General features: G+C 40.0%; 1 protein-coding gene across 9 annotated transcripts in view; it reads left to right on the top strand.

The window, feature by feature from the left end:
* Positions 1–12551, top strand: part of MREG (melanoregulin) — a 94789-nt gene extending 82238 nt beyond the window's left edge. For 4 of the 9 annotated variants that reach the window (NM_001372189.1, NM_001372190.1, NM_018000.3 and 1 more), the window contains 3 exons: positions 4746–4836; positions 6125–6288; positions 6862–9275. In NM_001372189.1, coding sequence (NP_001359118.1) covers positions 4746–4836; positions 6125–6288; positions 6862–6996 — 390 coding nt within the window. In that variant the 3' untranslated portion in view covers positions 6997–9275. Of the gene's footprint in view, positions 1–4745; positions 4837–6124; positions 6289–6861; positions 9276–9791; positions 10195–12208 lie in introns of those variants that run through there. The other 5 variants (XR_007078319.1, XR_001738842.2, XR_001738843.2 and 2 more) reach the window with 4 other exon arrangements.
* Positions 12552–21139: the final 8588 nt, after the last annotated feature.

The raw sequence follows: 21139 nt of genomic DNA, 5'->3' as shown, positions 1-21139 counted from the left end.
GAGCTTAAATCAGGACTCAAGGTCAAGGTCAGCTCCCGGGGATTGAAAGCTGGAGGAGAATTAGCCATTGATGGTGGCAGGACATTGAGTTCTTTCTGCCTTTCATCTTGTTGCCTCAACCTTCTTATCTAGCAGCCCTAATCTGATTTGGCCAACAACTGACGAGGAAAAAAACCCCAAGAATTCAGCTATAAACATCTTCAGTTATTGATTTCAGTTTTGACTTGTTCTCAGGTATCTTATGAAATTAGCTCAGTATGTTTTCTTTTGCTACACCTTTGCTAATTGACCCATTGTTAAAGTTCAGGGCCACGGCATCACATTGACCACAATATATTATTTCAGAAATTAAGGAAAAACAAATAAAATATTACTTTAGAAAATAAGACTTTAACTTTTGATGTCTGGTAGAATTGCATTGAAGTCACTTGGGAAGAATATGTAATTGACTTTTAACTGTTGTTTTCAAATTATTTGTTTCAAGCTTAAAAGATAAATCATTACAATTTAAAAATTGGAGAGGGACATCGGAAGACTTGCTCTAACGCCAGGGAGTAGCGGAGTTAGTTTCTTTAGTTATGGAGAGATGTAATTGGATAACATTTTTTACATCACTATTTTTCATTTGCTGCATTTCGATCTGTATTAGCTTGTTCTCACACTGCTATAAAGAACCACCTGAGGCTGGGTAATTTATGAAGAAAAGAGGTTTAATTGACTCACAGTTCCACAGGCTGTACAGGAAGCATGGCTGGGAGGCCTCAGGAAACTTACACTCATGGCAAAAGGGCGAAGGGGAAGAAAGCACCTTCTTCACACGGTGGCAGGAGAGAGAGAGAGAGAAAGAGACAGAGAGAGAGAGAGAGAAGGGGGAAGCGCTACATGCTTTCAAACAACCAGATCTTGTGAAAACTCTATCACGAGACAGCACCAGGTGGATGGTGCTAAACCATTAGAAACCACCTCTATGATCCAGTCACCTCCCACCAGGCCCCTCCTTCAACACATGGGGATTACAATTCGACATGAGATTTGGGTGGGGACACAGAGCCAAACCATATCAAGATCCAATTCTTTGGAGTCACATGTTTAAGAGGAATCCAGATTCTCCTCTTACCAATTATGTAATCAAGTGTCTATTCTTAGTTAAAACCCTGTCAATGCTTCTACTGGTTTTAGAGCTTTAAATTTTGCATAAAATTTCCAGATACTTTCATGTATAATTATTCATGACTATTCTGTCAAAAGAAGACAGTAATAATATGGAAGTATGACATCCATAGTTTCATTGAACTAATTTTAACAACCACCTGTCATGTGCAAGCTGTCCCCAAACCATGGTAGGGGAAGGTGGGATCCAAAGATGCATCAACTATGGATCCATCCTTAGCAGATCTTTAATCTCATATTGATTATTAGTTATGTGTTGCTTCCCCATTAAATGTTTTATCAGAGTAACAGACACTGAAACTGAATGAATTCGTATAACATTCATTGTAGATATTTAGGAATAGCAAAATGACTAATCGATGGACAGCAGGAAGGGAAGGATGTTTTAAAAGTCCAAAGCCTGGATGATCCAATGATGAATGAGTCTCTGAAAAACAGAGATTTGGCTGCATTTAGAACAAGGCCTAAGACATCAGCCTAAGGAGCTAAAAAAAATTGTCAGAGACCTTTAATTGCAAGTTGGAGAAGCCACCTAGTGGTTTGTTTCATAAGTTAAAGTTGTGTGAACATACGAGGCAACTCATCCTTGGATTGATTGAGTGGGTCTCTAATCAAGTGTGACTAACAATCTGGTCACTTTTCATGAAGTCCAGAAAGCAGGGTCATTTTCACTGAGAATAAGCACAGTGTAGCTCTGCCTAATATTTTGTTTATTTTATTGTCATCTTTTTATCTAAAAGGAGTTAAGGCAACTTACATAAAAGTATAGTGAGATAAGATAAACTAGAATAAGACAGGAAAGAAAGAGGAAAATATGAATAAAGTCATAACAAGTAGCCAGAAATTGAAGTAATTCAAAAATGCTTGTGAAATCCTGTATGTATATATTTTTTCATGAAAGGACTTGAAATTTTCAGGCACAAGTGGAAATGGATCAGTTATAAAATTTACAACATCCAGAAAGATGAAATAATTTTTAGGAAAGATAAAACCATCTAGTACTTAGAGCAGAGCAATTTTTCTTCTGGAGGTCCTCACAAATTGCATACTGCATAATGTAATGTATCATGGCCTCCATGCTCATAGTAGAAATAATTCTGAGTCCTGGAGGATTTTTTTTTTTTTTTTGAGACAGAGTCTTGCTCTGTTGCCCAGGCTGGAGTGCACAGGCGTGATCTCGGCTCACTGCAACCTCTGCCTCCCGGGTTCAAGCAATTCTCCTGCCTCAGCCTCCTGAGTAGCTGGGACCACAGGCACACACCACCACACCCGGCAAATTTTTTGTATTTTTAGTAGAGACGGGGTTTCACCGTAGTGACTAGGCTGGTCTCAAACTCCTGACCTCAAGTGATCCACCCGCCTCAGCCTCCCAAAGTGCTGGGATTATAGGCATGAGCCAGCATGCCTGGCCCTCTTTTTTTTTTTTTTAAGACAAAGTCTCACTCTCACCCAGGCCGAAGTGCAGTGGTGCGATCTCTGCGCACTGCAACCTCTGCCTCCTGAGTTGAAGTGATTCTCCTGCCTCAGCCTCCTGAGTAGCTGGGATTACAGGTGTGTGCCACCACCTCCAGCTAATTTTTGTATTATTATTATTATTATTAGTAGTAGTAGTAGTAGTAGTAGTAGTAGTAGTAGTAGTAGTAGTAGTAGTAGAGACAGGGTTTTGCCATGCTGGCCAGGCTGGTATCGAACTCCTGACCTCAAGTGATCTGCTCACCTCTGTGTTCCAAAATGCTGGGATTAGAGGTGTGAGCCAGCGTCCTTGACCTAGGATTGTTTCTTAATTGTGCTACACTGATTTGGAGGAGCATGTGGACCAACCTCCATTTTAAGGACTTGTATTAACTCATTTGATCCTCACAATAAGCCAATGAGGTAGGTAGGTAGTTTTATTATCCCCATATTGCAGATGAGGCAATTGAGGAACAGTGAGGTTAAGAACTTCCCTGAAGTCAGGCTGTTAGTAAATAACAGAGCTGGGATTCAAACCCAGACACTCAGGCTCAGCACCCACAGTATTTTCCAATATGCTATACTGAGTGGCCAAGTAAGTATAATAAGGCCCTTCCAATGAAGACAGCAGTACTTGAGTTTTTTCCCTTACAACTTATATAGTCTGTGAGGGATTAGATAGGTATGCCTTAACATGATGCTAAAGATGTGGCTAGGGTTGCATATTTCTTATATGACTTAGTTAACTTTGCCCTCTTCCAAGGTCACAGATTTTGTCCCTGACCCCAATCACCATGCACATGTGCACATGCACGTTCAACATGCCTTTGGTAAAATAAAAGAGGACCAGGAGAAATTGTTCAAACTTGCCACTTCCTGACTTCTAGAAAATAGCTGAAAGCCCATGCCCTGCTGATGGCATATCCTCAGATTCAAGATCTAAAATGCCGTCGTAACAAAACACAGTTTGTTTTGCTAGCTTTTCTTTTTCCAAGTGGTATCTATAAACATTTGCGAATGGCAGCTAAATTGGTTTTTCTTAAACAGTCATGAGTTGATTGCCAATCAACAAGGCAAGCCTTGTACAGAACTTAGTAGAGAAATAATGGCATCATTGAAACATTTTCAGTTAGAGGAGTCAAAATATCATATAACTTGAGTCCTAAATTGAGCATTTAGAATGATGTTCTTTTGGGCTGTGCATTAGGATAGCTGTGTGGTTAATGTCTTTGCTAAGAAACAGTAAAAGGTATACTCTATAAAATGACTGCTCTATAGTGACAAGCCTCCTTAAAGACAAATTTCTATGACATTTTAAAGGCACACTTATCTCAATAAAGACCCCAATGCTCCTAAAAGATTCAAGTTCTGTATTGGAACAACATGATGGCCTCCTTTACATAGGACTGATAAAGAACTTTAATCAGTTGATAAAGTTGAATTTGTGACAGATTCATCCTATCAAAGGAAAATGAATAAAAAAGAATGTTGCTGAGATATGGTGGTGAAGGAGACATTGCCCAGGAATCAAGAAACTTGGGATTTTCAGGTCTACTTTATTCTGACTACAAAGGGAGACATAGATTTTTTTGTGTGTGTCTGTTTCTTATGAACTTTTGAGCCAGACTTGGCTTCCAATATCTATTCTGATACCTATTAGCTGATGACATTGGATTAGCCAAGGAAGCTCTTTGGGCCTCAGTTACTGTATCTATAAAATGGCTTTAATAATATATAGATTTTATTAGATGCTCACTGTGTGCAGATATTGTACTTTCTGTATGCCATCAATCTTTATAACATTCTTAAATGGAATATTTATCATTGTTAACTCCACTTTACAGGTGAGATCACTAAATTGAGAGAATATGTAATATGAAGAGTTTCAGTAAGATAATTTATGCAAGGTGCCATATCACCTGGTGCAGAGCAGATTCTCCAGCAGTGGTAGCTGATAGTATTCCTATCAACTTTATCTCATCCATCTCCTTCTCTTCTTTTAGGCTTGCTTTGAAGATTAATAAAAGAGAAGAGCCAGGTGTTTAGGCAACATGAAGTTTGGGAATGAGATAGAGGTTTAAGCCAAGGGGTATAAATAAAACTAAACTTTTATTTTCCTGCAGGAGTGGCAGAAGCTCAACTATGATATCCATACCCTGCGGCAGGTTCGAAGGGAAGTAAGAAACAGATGGAAGTGCATCTTAGAAGATTTAGGTAAGTCTAAAAGAGATTGTGAAATGGTAAAAATAACTCGTTGTGATCATTATTCTTCAATTTCTCCACCATGGTTTTTATAAAAGGAATGTCAATAATTGCCTAATTAAGACTACTGTGTACTAATTATTCTCCCAATCTTGCTCTTATATCCTCAAGCATAAATGCCTGATGTTTCTGTTGTCACCAGTCCATGTCTTCAGGACACACTCTGCCATGTGTTACTCCATCTGTCCCTAGTATAGGGTACGCATGCCAGTGCAGTCATGTGGGCACTAACATTTACTTTTTTGGCATTGTACATTAATTTAATTAGATGGGGTGTTGGCCAATTAGTCATAGCTTTGTAAGATGAAGCAGGTTGGGAGAAATATTGTTTGCAAGACAGACAGCAAAACTCAGTGTAGAATTTCGGAAGAAATATGGAAGAAAAGCTTCGAGGTTGGGAAAAACACTTGTGGCATTAGGGTAGATACCTGCCCTCATCACTAATGGTTAATGATAATGATTTTTCTCAATTCTCCCGGGATTGTGATACAATAAATGTGGCCCCCACATTATATAATCCTGCTTCAATGTTTAAAAAGTGAATTTATCAGTTCTGAAGTCCTTGATCCTTTTGCTTTGAAAGAGAGCATGACATCTTGGCATCATCACTTTTCAAGCGTGGGGGGCCATGTGACCGATCTCTATGGCTTTGGTTGGCATGCAATGGGATGGGATGGGATCTCTGCCCTCTTTGCATATCTAGTATTGTTGTGAGCTAATAGCCTTTTTTTTTTTTTAAACAATGAAAGTTACTCCAAGTAGGTTTAAGTCTTTGAATCCTTTATACTTTTGGGTGAGTGATTTTTACCAGCTAATCATATTACCCTGAGGAAGAAAATCCAGGTTTGGAGAAGGACAGCCTGGAGGGAACCACTTTGCAGGCTGGGAGGCAGGTAGGAATTCTGGGGACAGGGGAGAAGCTAAAGAGTAGGGAGGACAGGAAAGAGGGCTTCAAACCAGAAACAAGGTGGCAAGCAACCAGTGGATGAGTATCTGAGGCTCTGAGGGAAAAGTTAACAAAGAGAAAAAAAATACCGAAAGAATTGTAATTAAATATCCTGCCAATCACATGGATCTGGGAGGCAGCACATGGAATAGTACCTTTGGCTTCAGTTTTCTGATGCTTTATGCTTGTACAGAATCCACATGGGTCTGTTCGTAATCTCCTGCAGGGACCGTATTGCGGAACACTTGTTAACTTGGGACTACTTTACATGAGTGGTCCATTTTTCTACCTTAGGTTTTCAAAAGGAAGCTGACTCTTTGTTGTCAGTGACTAAACTCAGCACCATCAGTGATTCTAAAAACACAAGGAAAGCTCGAGAGATGTTGTTAAAACTGGCTGAAGAAACCAATATTTTCCCAACAAGTTGGGAGCTCTCAGAGAGATATCTCTTTGTTGTGGTAAGTGGATGCTTTTTTTCATTTGCCCTAATTTTGCTTTAATTGCTTGGCTTTTTAAAACTATTCACTATCCTCCGTATTCCAACACCACCATCACTATCACATATGAGGTGGCAGATGCTGGCATTATATGCTGTGGTCCCCAGTGGCCCGCAGCATCAGAATCACCTAAAGAGTTTTAAAAGTTCAGATTTCTGTATCACACGTAGACCTACTGAGGCTTGGGTTCCAGCTCAAGAGTTTGTATTTTTCAGTGAATTCTACTGTGTAGTCTATTTTCTGAACCATTTGTAGGTCAAAGAGATGTGAGAAGTATTGTTTATTTAACCTATAAGACTAAGAAATAATCTGAAAGGAGAAAGGACGCTAAGGAGTGGGGAAATGTTTCTTGGATAATGTAACTAAAGGATTAAGGCGTGTCTCTACATTTGTTAGGAAAAAATTAATAAACGTCTTACTTGCTCATTGTCATTTCCAGGGTGGGTTTTGTTGTTGTTAGATTGCTTTTTCCCATCGACATGTCTTGGTTCCTATCTTGCCAGCAGTTTTTTGGTTTGTTGTTTGTTTTTGCAGGACCGTCTCATTGCACTTGATGCTGCAGAAGAGTTCTTTAAGCTTGCTCGTCGAACTTACCCCAAGAAGCCTGGGGTTCCATGCCTGGCAGATGGCCAGAAAGAACTGCACTACCTTCCGTTTCCAAGTCCCTAAAGGAGAGGCTCAGGGGCAGAATGGGAATTCTTCCATGAGGACTCAGCAGTCAACCAAAGTTGGACAATTACATGTAGAAGAGAGTGAGCAAATAGAGTTTGCTTAGTGAAAAATGATACTGAATTCTACATAAATGTAAAGTCTTTAATCTGAGGACCCTGCCCCATGAATTGTGCAGGCTGCATTGAAACGCCTTGGTGATCTCATATTTAGGAAGAAAGTTAAAGAGTTGGTCAGATGGATAGTTCATAATGGGTGGTTCCATTCTGAGAGCCCATTGCCCCAGCTTTGGTTTTAGTTGTGTCATAATCTCTGATCATTAATCCTACTGACTGAGTGGACTATTTCAGTTAATAAAACAATATGATTAATAGAGAGAGCTGTCATTGAGTCCCAAAATGGATTGCCAGTTTTAAAATAATTATTATAAAATGTATGCTAACCCCAAAATAATACTAGGCATGAGGTGACCTCTCTGATTTGGTCACCTTGTAGAACCTTGGAGGGTGTCAGGGCATCTCTTTGAGTATCAGTTATGATTATTCAGAAGTATAGATGTATCAAATGATAGAAATGACAAGGAATGGCTGGGCGTGGTGGCTCATGCCTGTAATCCCAGCACTTTGGGAGGCCAAGGTGGGTGGATCATGAGGTCAGGAGTTCAAGACCAGCCTGACCAACATGGTGAAACCCTGTCTCTACTAAAAATACAAAAATTAGCCAGGTGTGATGGCACGCGCTTGTAATCCCAGCTACCCAGGAGGCTGAGGTAGGAGAATCGCTTGAGCCCGGGCAGTGGAGGTTACAGTGAGCCGAGATTGCACCATTGCACTCCAGCCTGGGCGACAGAGCGAGACTCCGTCTCAAAAAAAAAAAAAAAAAAAAAAAAAAAGAGTTATGTATTCATGTGTTGTACTTGCATTTTAAATTCCCAACATTATTGATATCTGGTTCTCTCATCTTTGTATATTGTCCATTTCTATTCCAAAAGCCTTTCGCTCTTTTTTTTTTTTTTTTTTTTTTTGATGGACTCTCGCTCTGTCGCCCAGGCTGGAGTACAGTGGTGCGATCTCGGCTCACTGCAACCTCCGCCTTCCGGTTTCAAGTGATTCCCCTGCCTCAGCCTCTGGAGTAGCTGGAACTACAGGCGCGTGCCACCACACCTGGCTAATTTTTTGTATTTTTAGTAGAGACGGGGTTTCACCATGTTAGCCACGATGGTCTCGATCTCCTGACCTCGTCATCCGCCTGCCCCAGCCTCCCAAAGTGCTGGGATTACAGGCGTGAGTCACCGCGCCCGGCCAAGCCCTTGGCATTTTATCTGGAATAGCATCTGTAAACTGAAGTGTTTGACCTCTGTTTTCTTCTCTCCTCTTTCATCTGTTTCTGATTCGTTGGCTGGCAGCTGCACCTGTGGGGGGACCTCTCATGCAGACTTGCACATATGCAGGGAGTATTGCACTGAAGATCTTTGCTGGACCTTCTTCTCTTCAGAAGATAATTTTCAAAAGGGAGCAATGCTGTGAATGCAGCTTGCTTCTCTCTACAGATTGAGAAGTCCAGCTTCAAAAGTTACTTGCCACTTAAGCAAGGAACTTGTCAAGAGATCATGGTTCATGTTACTGAAAAGACTTTAAGGATTTGTAAGGTTAATCCATAGATTGCTGAGAAAAATGGAAATATTTTTATTTTTACAGATTTTGCACTTCTGAATTCAGGTTAAAAACTAACTTGTATTTAGTCTGCTTAGAGGACTGTGACTTGAAAATTTTTATATACCAATGAGCTTTTTGGTAGCGTCCACAATGTTTAAAATATTTCATAGGCGAGATCCGTGTTCTCCATTTATTAATGCATTGTAGACCAATTTAACTGCTGTGTTTCAGGAAAATTCTTCCTAGTTTAATAAGCAAGCTAAAAGTTTTATTTTTTATATTTAGTGCTTAATCTTTGCCTCATGTTATGTAAAATTAGCCTGCAGATATTTTCTCTCAATTCTGTAGACTCTCGCAAGATAAACATTCAAACAGTGAAACAAACAATAAAATAAATAAACCTAAGGATGTCGTATTGTTTTACTCTCGGTCTCAGAATTTGTATTTTGCCTTTCTGCCTTTTTTATGTCAAAATAGATGAGATTGTGTGCATCTATAAATTGTTACCACAGTATTTTTGATAATGAATAAGGATAGGACTATCTCTGTGATTATTAAAATACATGGAATTATCCAGGAAATTTTCCTTACAAGGAATTAAAAGACTCCTGTATTTACTTTTCAGCTGGATGTGTGTTATATTTCTGACATAAGAAGGGATAGATATTCTTTCCATAATCCCTTTAAATTAAAGGGCAGAGAGGCTGAAACACTCATGGGTTTAAGGACCTCCCATCATCCTAAAGCCAGTCAAGGATTAGATGTGTGTTAAGTCCAGTGGACATGGCAGTGCATGAGAGGGGCGCAGGGGTGCCTCAGGTGGCCACTGTAGATGTCACAGTGTGCTCGGCAGGACCAGTAGCCACAGAAGTGTGGGAGGCCAGAGAGTTTCCCACTTTTTGTCTCCCTGTCGACTACTTTAGTACTCCTTTTTCATTTTTTTTTATATTCTTACTTTAGTACTTCTTAAAGGCTCATCTGTGTATGCAGGTTGATTTGGGGTGGTAGATGGATGGAAGTTTTTATATTAATATTTATTTTAAAATGCACCAGGAGAAAACCCTCTAACCAGTAGATCAAACACCTGGTTTTACAGTTCATGGATGTGTTGCACAGAATATTATTTATGCTTTCTTAAAGGCAAAGGGACACCCAAGAAGGCACAGAGGACACATGTACTAAAGGGATAAGGAATGCATTGGTGAGAGGGCACCAGCATCCCTGAGAAGCTCAGTGGCAGTTCTGAAGGCCAGATGCTGTTACAGAAGTGAGCTCACTGACAGCAATGGACATGGAAGAACAGAGGCCCAATGGCAGTGAGTCACTATCAGAAGACAAATGGATACAATTATCACAATGAGTGGCCAGGTTGAAGGATTCCTGCAGAGAGCTTTGGAGACAGTTAATGGAACATGCCATCTTTAGGAGCAAAATAAGTCTAAAATGAGTATTGCTCAAACGATACCTTCAAAAGACCTCAAGGATGGGTGATCAGGAGATAGGACACAGCCACCTTAATAAAAGGTTATAATCTTTTGCCAAATTTTCAGACCTTTGTTATTTTCCAAATGCAGAAACTGCTGATTGAAGGAAAGTCTAGGTCTCCAAGAAGGTCTTTGTAAAACCACTGCAAGTGTGTATGGCAATGATGTCCCTATGGTTATTTACTTGGATAACTGTACACTGGGGAAGGGGAGTACATGAATAATCTGAGGGCGCTGAGACACAAGGTCCAAGCTGACAGTGATACTTCAGGACCAGAGTATCACTACAGTCCACCTTTTGGAGTGAGGGGCATATGGGATTCAGGTAATAAATGGAGTTCTTTTCCAGGTATTACTTAACACTAGGTCCACTGAATTCATGGCTCTACCCAATGGTAGTCTGCCTGTCGACTACTACTTTCAGAATAATCATCCCCCTACTTAGACTCCCTGTCCCTGTCATCTCCTTACTTTCAGAATAAATAATCAGACTGAACATACTTGGGAGTTGACAGAACCGCCATTCCTTTCTTGGCTTGTGTGTTAGAATTTTCTTAAAGGGAAAGCCATGTGGAAGCGGGAATGTTGAGCCTTATCATAATTCCATTTAATTCACCACTCTGACCTCTGTAAAAACCAGACACTGGAGAATGAAAGTGGACTATTGAAAACTCAGCCAAGTAGTAACCGTAACTGCAGCGTCTGTACCAGATGTGAAACCTTGGCTAGAATAGACTAAGACAAGGTCAGCTACATGGTTTGTGGCCACTGATCTGTCAAATGTTTTCTTCCCCCACCCATCAGAATGGTAGATCAAAAACTGTATTCCCTTGAGATAGAAAATATTTATGATGGACACACACACACGCGCGCACACACACAACACACATACACTTACATTGCTCCAGAGTTCCCTATTAGGTTGGCTGAGGCTTTTGTTGTGACTGCATCTTAGTAAAATCTCTCCCTTTCCCCAAGCCTGTCTTCCTTCTCTCCTCCACAGGAATTTGCTAATAGACTTCTTTCATGCCAATCTCCATTTCAAAATAATTTCCCTCAGGGAACCCAACTGTGACAGTATCTGAGTTGCCAATACAATCACTATCACATATTTTCCAATGTGATGGTTTTTCAAGACCATCATCAAGTGTCCTTTCTTTAGTGAAGACATTAAATGTTAAGTTTCCCTAGGAGTTATCCGACTAATGGCAGTAACTTTTGGAAAAGAACTGCAGTGGTAGCAGCAGAAACCAATTTATCTGACTATTTTCCAATGCCCAGAGAGGGATCATGGCACAACCCTGGCTTCCTTTCCATTGAATTAATGTATTTATTCATTTCCTCGGATCACTTTCTATTACTAATATCACAAGAAATATTTTGCAGTGAAGGGAGTATACTCTCATAACTTCTAAATCACAACTACGTACAGGATGAAAATGGGTAGCCACTTTGAACTTGCTATTTACAATGTTTCAGCAAGTGTTATTAACTTCTAGAATATTCTTCCATCTTCTGTTTTGACACACTATGGATGGACATTTGGGTATCCAGTTTTCAAGTCACTTAAACATATGGATTTAGAACACTGGGTTGTGGAGAACTAAGTCAGGCAACCAGATTTTAGCTTGAGTCTCATCATTTAATCACTTATTAGCTATAGCGGATTTATTTGATATTGTTTCTCACCTATGTTCTAAGTATTTAAAGATAATAAATTTGGAGAGAATAGAATTAGAAATACAGAAATAAAATAATGACATAATAGCTAGAGGAAGCTTAGGCCTATAGATCATTACTTTTTAAAAAAACATCTGTAGTTTTTATGCAGCAATTTATTTTAAACATTTTTAAACATGTAGTGTGAATTATGCATATGTGTAACTGAACTTTATCATATATTCTAGAGACATATAGTTAGCATTTGAAGTATCTTAATCAGGAATCCACTTTCTAGAGATGGTTGCTTAATCATTTCAATTATCTTCATCAAAATTTGTATCCGAAAGTTTATTAAGCTGTGTAAATGATACTAGGAATACTTTTCTGTCTGGTTTCCATCACCTTTTTTAGGAAGAAGATACTAAAAATCTGTCAAACCCAGCAGTACTCAAGGCCTAGAGCTCCATTTGTTTTTTATCTGCCTACTTCACACACCTGACGATATGTTGTCGGATCTTATTATTGGAATATTGTTGTGTCTGCCTAAGAATGAAACTTTCACTGCCATTTTTATTTCAATATTTGTGGCTGAGAACAGAAAGGAGGACTTATTTGGGATTACAGGAAGCAAAGGTAGAATTTCTGGCCAATAACAATTGTACGTTTAGAAGAATTTGGGGCAACACTTGCTTTCATTGTAACACGCCACCTGGTCACAAGATTATGGGGAAATAAATATATCGTCTTCACTTTATTTTTTTTGTTGCTGGAGATTATTGGTATTTACTAAAAGACTGGACATTTACTGAGAGGTCACATTGGCTCAGGTTTCTAATTTCTAATTTCTAACCCATTTTCCAAATAAAAGAGAAGTGCAGAAAATTAAAAAAAAAATCAACTATAATATCAGAACTGTAAGACAACCAAGCATTCGTAGCAATTTGGGATATTTCATTCTTTTTTATGTGCATATTTAAAATTTATATGTATAATAATAATTTTTTTTTTTTTTGAGATGAAGTCTCGCTCTGTCGCCAAGGGTAGAGTGCAGTGGCGCAATCTTGGCTCACTGCAACCTCTGCCTCCCGGGTTCAAGCAATTCTCCTGCCTCAGCCTCTCAAGTAGTTGGGATTACAGGCACCTGCCACCACGGCTGGTTAATTTTTGTATTTTCAGTAGAGACGGGGTTTCACCATGTTGGCCAGGCTGGTCTCAAACTCCTGACCTCAGGTGATCCGCCCACCTCAGCCTCCCAAAGTGCTGGGATTACAGGTAAGAGCCACGTGCCTGGCCTATATGTATAATTTTAAACCCTGATTTTTAAATTTAGGTCAGGGATTATGAACTCAAATGCTTCCACGAGCCATTGGATTGGGACTGTAGATCAAAGGGGGTTATATATTTTTTGTCCTAAAGGGAAGAGTTACTACTCAGCTGCAAATAATTGTCATGTACGAGGGCTCAGTTTTGCCAGTTATTCTGATTTTTTGAGTAGAGCCAAACAAACATATTTTTGTGTAAATTTTCTCAGTATGGAAATGTTCACTAAATTAAAATTTTAAAAACATTGCATAAGCCAAAGATATATATATATATGTGTGTGTATATATATGATCTGGTAGTTTACCACATTTCACAAGTCATAAACATTTTATGTTACTAAATAGCCTCTGAGAACATCATTTTTACAAAGCTATATAATATTTGAGTAGATGTAACAAAGTTTACAATCTTTCATCTATTTCTGGACTTTTAGAGGCTGTTTCCAATTTTTCTCTGCAGTGAACATCTTCATGCATATTGCTTTGTCCTGTGTTCTTAGTGAAATTGCAGAATCAAAGGTCATGAATATATAAATCATTCTTTATGCTTATCATTACATATTTTCCAAAAGACCTGTACAAATTTATGCTATCACTTACCAGTGATGTATGAGAATATAGTTTCACTATATCTTTGTCATCACAGAAAAATACACTAGTAAAAAAATTGGTAAGAAAAAAATTGGTACCTCCTTGTTGATTTAATTTGCATGTTTATTAGTTAGGTTGAACATTATTCCATATGCTTGTTTACCATTTTTATTTCTTTTGTGACTTGTCTATTTGTTTTCATTGTCCCTTGTCTGTGGGGGAGAAACTCTACTTTGAAATTTTAAGAATGTCAATCTATGCAGCAGCCAGGTATAAATAAACATCAACACCTGCTTCATGTTTAAAACATCTGTTTTATGGGGCTTTTCTGTTCTCTACTACTTGTCAGCTTTTATCCTTGGGTCTCTGTCTCACATGGCAGCATTTGTAATAGAGGCAAAATGGATTGAAAGGCATCTTTGAATGCCTTTGATACTGGCTGAGTTCATGTTGTGGGACATAATTCTCAAGGACAAAGATGCTCAAGTTTTACATTTACCTTTTATCATTAGTTTCTGAATTATGTTCTAAATTATTTTGAGTTTACAAATCCAAGTTTTAGCACTGTGATATTGGGTGCAAGACTAACTCCTGGCTTTGAGATTCCATAGTGAAAACTCCAGAGCTCAAATGGATCTTACAAGTCTTCTATTCCAAACTGATCGTTTTGCTAATGTGGGTTCAGGTAACTCCTCAGAAGCCACAAAGCTGGTAACTGCAACATGGTCTACTACCTGTGACTATGATCTCAAGTTTAATTGTCTTTCCGCTTCATCATGTTCTGTTTGCATGTTGCTGCATGTTACTGCTACATTTTGCAATATAATTTGGTCCTGATGTATCTTAATTCAAGTAAGGAATGGCAGTATTTTCGTTATATTCATGTCAGAAATCTGTTACAGAGGAGTAGTTACTTAGCTCTTTCAAGCCTGATGAAAAATTTCCAGAGCCATGGACAACTTTTATAAATATTGGTTTTGTTACTCTTTTTTTTTTTTGAGACGGAGTCTCACTCTGTTGCCCAGGCTGGAGTGCAGTGGCGCAATCTCGGCTCACTGCAAGCTCTGCCTCCCGGGTTCACACCATTCTCCTGCCTCAGCCTCCTGAGTAGCTGGGACTACAGGTGCCCGCCACCAGGCCTGGCTAATTTTTTGTATTTTTAGTAGAGCCGGGGTTTCACTGTGTTATCCAGGATGGTCTCGATCTCCTGACCTTGTGATCTGCCCGCCTCGGCCTCCCAAAGTGCTGGGATTACAGGCATGAGCCACCTTGCCCGGCTGGTTTTGTTACTCTTTGAGAGATACAGTGGTGAGCCAAGATGCAGGACAAATTAACCATTAAGTGTTTTACTTTGTTAATGGCAGAGTGCAAAAATGCAGTTTAGATATCTTATTAGAGGTAATTTTATTAGCATCATTACTGCAAGAGGTTCAAATCCAATTTTGGGGCAAAAATTGAACTGATGATTTCTATTCAGAGGCATTTGATGGCAATATAATACACGAGACAAAGGAACTGGCTGCTGTGTTCTAGAAGCTAAGTATCTACTCTTTAGTATCCTGAACTTCGTCTCTGTTGAAGCTTCTGCACCTTTCTTTTGGGCAGCTGAGCAGGTGGCTGCAAGGGTGTTGCCTTCTGAGTGTAGTAGGAGTTCCAGCTAATCCTAAATTAGTTTTCAGACCTGGGGGTCTTGTTAGATATGTAGGTGTCTGCATCCCACTCAGGATAGTGTAATTCTGAAGGACTAGCATGAGGCCTGAAAATAGGCATTTTTAATAGACTTTTTATTTTAGAATAGTTTTACATTTATAGAAATTTGCAAAGATTGTGCAGAAAGTTTTCATGAGCTGGGTGCAGTGGCTCATGCCTGCAATCCCAGCACTTCGGTAGGTCGAGGCAGGTAGATCACCTAAAGTCAGGAGTTCGAGACAAGCCTGGCCAACATGGTGAAACCCCATCTCTACTAAAAATACAAAAAATTAGCTGGGTGTAGTGGCGGGGTCCTGTATTCCCAGCTACTAGGGAGGCTGAGGCAGGAGAATCGCTTGAATGAGGGAGGCAGAGGTTGCAGTGAGCGGAGATCATGTCATTGTACCGCAGTCTAGGCAACAAGAGCAAAACTGTGTCAAAAAAAAAAAAAAAAGAAAGTTTTCATATACCCCACAACCAGTTTTCCATGTTATTAACATCTCACATGAGTATGGTTAGTCATATCTAGTGAACCAATATTGATACATTATTATTAATTAAAGGCTCTACTCCATTCCTATTTCCTTGGTTTTTACCTAATGCCACATTACATTTAGTTGTCATGCCTCCTTAGGTTCCTCCTCTTGGGCATGATAGTGTCTTGGACTGTCCATGTTTTTGAAGAGTATTGGCCAAATATTTTGTAAAAATATACCTCAATTGGGATTTGTCTGATATTTTTCTTGTGATTAGATTGGGGGGAGGCCACAGAGATGAAGTGTCATTTTCATCACATCATATAAAGGTTACACATTAACAAGGCAACTTAGTATGATGGTGTTGACCTTGATCACCTGCCTGAGAAACTAGACAGCTTTCATGCTTCCTGCTCCAGGATAGTTTGATGCAGGTGATCTCTGGAGCACCTTTGGAGAAAGACTGGATGTTGTGTCCACTCAAGGATTCAGGCATGTCTGAAGATGTCTTAGGGGCTTATATCCAAAAGACAGGCAATGACAAATGCTGGCAAGGATGTGAAGAAAAGGGAACCCTCATACACTGTTGGTGGGAGTGTAAATTAGTACAACCATTATGGAGAACAGTTTGGAGTTTCTTCGAAAAGGTAAAAATAGAGCTGCCACATGATCTGGCAATCCCACTGTTGAGTATATACTCAAAAGAAAGGAAATCAGTGTATCAAAAAGAGATAGCTGCGCTCCTATGTTTGTTGCAGCACTGTTCACAATGGCCAAGATTTGGAAGCAAGCTAAGTGTCCATCAACAGATGGATGGATAATGAAAATGTGGTGCATATATACAAGAATGAGATCCTGTCATTTGCACAACATGGATGAACTGGAGGTCATTATGTTAAGTGAAATAAGCCAGGCACAGAAAGATAAACATTGAATGTTCTTACTTATTTGTGGGATCTAAAAATCAAAACAATTGAACTCATGGAGGTAGAGAGTGGAAGAATGGTTATCAGAGACTGGGAAGGGTAGTGGAGAAGGGGTTTGAGGGGAAGGTAGGGCTGGTTAATGGGTACAAAATAAATTAGAAAGAATGAATAAGATCTAGTATTTGATGGCACAACAGGGTGACTATAGGCAATAATAGTTTAATTGTACATTTTAATGTAACTAAAAGAGTGTAATTGGATTGTTTGTAACACGAAAGATAAATGCTTGAAAGATGGATACCCCATTTTCCATGATGTGACTATTATGCATTGCATACCTGTATCAAAATGTCTTATGGACCCTAGATAGATGGACAGATAGATAGATGGACAGATAGATAGATAGACAGATAGATAGATAGATAGATAGATAGATTTCTCATTTTGATTATGTTTCTTGGAAGAATACTGACTAATAATGTGAGTGACTTTGGGCAAGTTATTTAATCACTTTAATCCTTAGTTTCCCCTATAGTTAAATGGGTAAAATACTTGTTATAAAGTTTAAATGAGCTAGTGCATGGGAATTGATCAATTCACACGGCACCCACTAAGATCCCACTTGAAGTGGTTCCAGCTGTGGTTTCTGAGTAAATCAGGGGCCCAAAGATTTTGGAAGGAATTTAAAGGTGGTGAGGGTGGCCACAGTGAGTTGAGATGAAACTGGAGAAATTTTGTTTTGTGATGGCTCTTGAAACTTTATAGTAACTTCTTAGCTGAGATGTCCTGAGAAATGTAGTTTCACACATGAGGGCAAGGTTGAAAAGATCTGATTTAACTCTTGTTTTTCTTTTTACTGTCCAGGCCTCTGGAAGAGGCAGCACATCCACCCAAGACAGTGATGGTGCCAGGGAAATTACCAGCTCTTCTGAGAGTTCTGCTGATTCTGGTTAATAAACTGGGGCTTGGAATTTAGAGGAGAATGGAACAGAGTGGTGGAGAGCATAGGCTCTGGAGCTGGAGTGCTCATCTAAGATGAGTTTAGTTGTGTACAGTTGGGAAAGTTATACAACCTTTTGTGCTTTGGTTTTGTCAACTTAAAACAGGAGAAATAAAACCATCTAATCTGTATAGATTTTTGCATGAATTATATAATTAATTTATAAGGCAGTGACTTTTTTTTTTTTTTTTTGAGACAGGGTCTTGCTCTGCCACCCAGGCTGGAGTGCAGTGGCACCATCAGGGCTCACTGCAGCCTCAACCTCCCAGGCTCAAGCAATCCTCCTAACTCAGCCCCCCTGAGTAGCTGGAACTACAAGCATGTGCCACCATGCCCAGCTAATGTTCTGTATTTTTTAGTAGAGATGGGGTTTCACTATGTTGGTCTCGAACTCCTGAACTCAAGCAATCCCCCTGCCTTGGCCTCCCAAAGTGCTGGGATTACAAGCATAAGCCACTGCACCTGGTCAAGGTAATGATTCTTATATAACAGGGGAGGGGAGCAATTTTGCTCCCCAGGGGACATTTGGCCATATCTGGAGACATTCTTAGCTGTCACAACTGGTGCAGGGGTTGGGGGAAGCAATTCTCATGTGGTGGATGGCCGGGGATGTTGCTAAACATCCTACAATGCTTAATACAGGCCCCCATCACAAAGAACTGTACATCCCAAAATACTAGTCATGCTGAGATTGAGAAATCCCGAGATGAAGTATTGAGAAGAAAGCCCGTCTTGTGGCAATTGCTCAGTGTTACCTATCATTAATAAGCTTTGAGTAAGAATGACATACATCTGACACATAGTTTACTGAGTGAAAGAGATGGAGAGGAATCTTCATTTTATTCTCTGATAAGCCATACAAATGACATTTCAGCCATAAGGGCTGGCTTCCAGGCTTTTTGTTGTTTAGAAGATGCTGTTATTATTACTATTATTTTGAGATGGAGTTTCACTCTTGTTGCCCAAGCTGGAGTGCAATGGCACGATCTTGGCTCACTGCAACTTCCTCCGCCTCCCGGATTAGAGTGTTTCTCCTGCCTCCACCTCCTGAGTAGCTGGGATTACAGGCGCTCACCACCATGCCCAGCTAATTTTTTGTATTTTTAGTAGAGACGGGTTTCACCATGTTGGCCAGGCTGGTCGTGAACTCCTGACCTCAGGTGATCCACCTGCCTCGGCCTCCCAAAGTGCTGGGATTACAGGCATGAGCCACTGTGCCCGGGCTTATTATTTTTATAATCTAGGTAAACAAGTAGTTTCCAACCATAACAAATGCTGGCCTTTTGGTTGGGGTAGTTTGGAATATACCCAATTATGCTTTCTCAGTGAATGAAGTGAATGAATGAATAATTATAGAGGAAGCTCCAAGGCACATGGTGTTAGGAAGATACTGCCCACTGACTCTCCTTTCAGTAAACCTTCAGATTTTTGCTGGCACTGTCACCAGTAACTTGCATCTATGGGCAGACAGGTGGGCAGCCCCCGGGAGGGCTCAGGAGGGTATAAAATCTCTCAGAATGGCAAGGAGAATTTCCCAAAGGATCTGATGGCATCCTCAGCCAAAGACATAATGCCATCAGCAAAGTGGTGAGGATGAAGGCAGGGCACCTTGGTGGGTATAGAAAACAAGGGAAGCTTGTCTTTCCAACTGCCAAAATGCTGCTAAGCCTCCCCCTTTTTGTAGCTCTCTGTGTCCGCTAGGTTACATCTTAACCTGTATTAATGTACCTTGTATCCTTTGCCCAGGTCTGTTGGGTGCCTTTCTGTCACTTTTCTCCTAAAGAAAACAGATCCAAGTTTAAAAGGCTTCTGTTATTCTAGGAGGACCTAGGTCTCTGCAGATAAGCCTCAGCAGCTGGGAGTGGCACGGGGCTGGGGCCAATAGGGTGGGGGGCCAAGGAGAGTGGGGTGAGGAGAGGCAAGGGAAGGGTGGGAGTTCTGGATGGCTGAGTGCCTGTAGGTCTGGTTTTTCTACACCAACCCCCCTTTAAAGAGATCAGCTATAGATTATGTATATGTATCTATTCTTTGTAACATTGTCATTCCAAATATCTCATGTTTTTCCCTTAAATCATTTCATTGCTGGGGAAAAATGGTGAAAATCACTGGCATACACAGATCCAAAATCACCCCTTATTTATAGATTGTAGCCGATTAAATAGTTTCCCCAGAATTCACTATTCACTGAAGAGTTCAGGGTGTCCAGAAAAAAGTTAAGGCAAAAGCAGGATTATTTCCAACAATTAACACAATCTATTCCGTTTACTCCAGAGAAGGCTGATAAACCACCTTAGAGGGCTTCTGCCCTTCAGGGACTCTCAGGCACATAGTCCTGTCTTTGAGTTTGAGTCTGAGGGGAAGCTGAGATGAGGCTGAGATGCAGGTGAGATGCATGCCAAGGCTGTGTGATGTTCCGTCTCTCTGGAATTAGGACAACCTGCGTCCTTCTCCTGTGAACATCTATGGAAGCAGCACCATAAACACTCGGGTGAGTGCTTCTCAATGATTTCCACGAGTGGATAAATGTAACTGATTTGCCTCTTACAATAACACACAGATCCTCCCATCTCCAACGAGGGGCTTTGCAGGATTCTGATTGAACACTAGATGCCGCTGTTGACTCACTCTGTGTTCTGTGAGCTTCAAGATCTCATCCCTCAGTCCCCATCAGGAGAGACAATTTTTAAAAGCCTGAGTCAATTAACGAAGTTCTGTCTATTTTTCCTCATTTAGTGATTGATTTAGAGGGTTTTTATTTATTCATTTTTTGGTGAATTTCAGAGGTTGTCTTTTTCTTGGAGAACATTTGGAAATTGGCAGAAAATGAAACAACGAAAGGGCATCGATGTCTTTTAAAGAAGAAAGGTCAACTCAGACTAAAGGCTTGTAAATAAGATCATTTTTGGATTTCTGAGTTTCTGCCCCAGAAAAAATTCAAGTAACTCTCAGGCCTACCTGTTTCTCTAGTTCTGTAGCATGCCAAATTGTGTTTGTCTTCGGCATGTATTTGAATATTATAATCTGAGATATGCCGGATAGCTGCCTCTACTGCATTCCAGGTTGCTAGTGTCATTATTGGTTTTCTACTTTCTAAAGCAACTTTTTACTTTGGCAAATTTTTAAAACAAAAGGGGAAAGACTAGTGAAGTGTGCTCCAAATACCCATTCCTTTGAAACCTACCAAATTTTAAATAATTATCGAATTAATTTTCCTCTTAGGCAGGGTGGTAAAGGGGATGCCTCTCTCAAAAGGCAGATTACTAAAAGTGATTTGGAAACACAGAACATTGCAAATAAAACCGGAGAGCCCTTGCTTCATTTTTCTGTCTTCAAAATTC

The sequence above is a fragment of the Homo sapiens genome, chromosome 2 (assembly GCF_000001405.40).
Source record: "Homo sapiens chromosome 2, GRCh38.p14 Primary Assembly".
Classification (NCBI taxonomy): Eukaryota; Metazoa; Chordata; class Mammalia; order Primates; family Hominidae; genus Homo; species Homo sapiens.
Note: the sequence above shows the minus strand (reverse complement) of the source record. Positions and strands in the feature narration are given on the sequence as shown.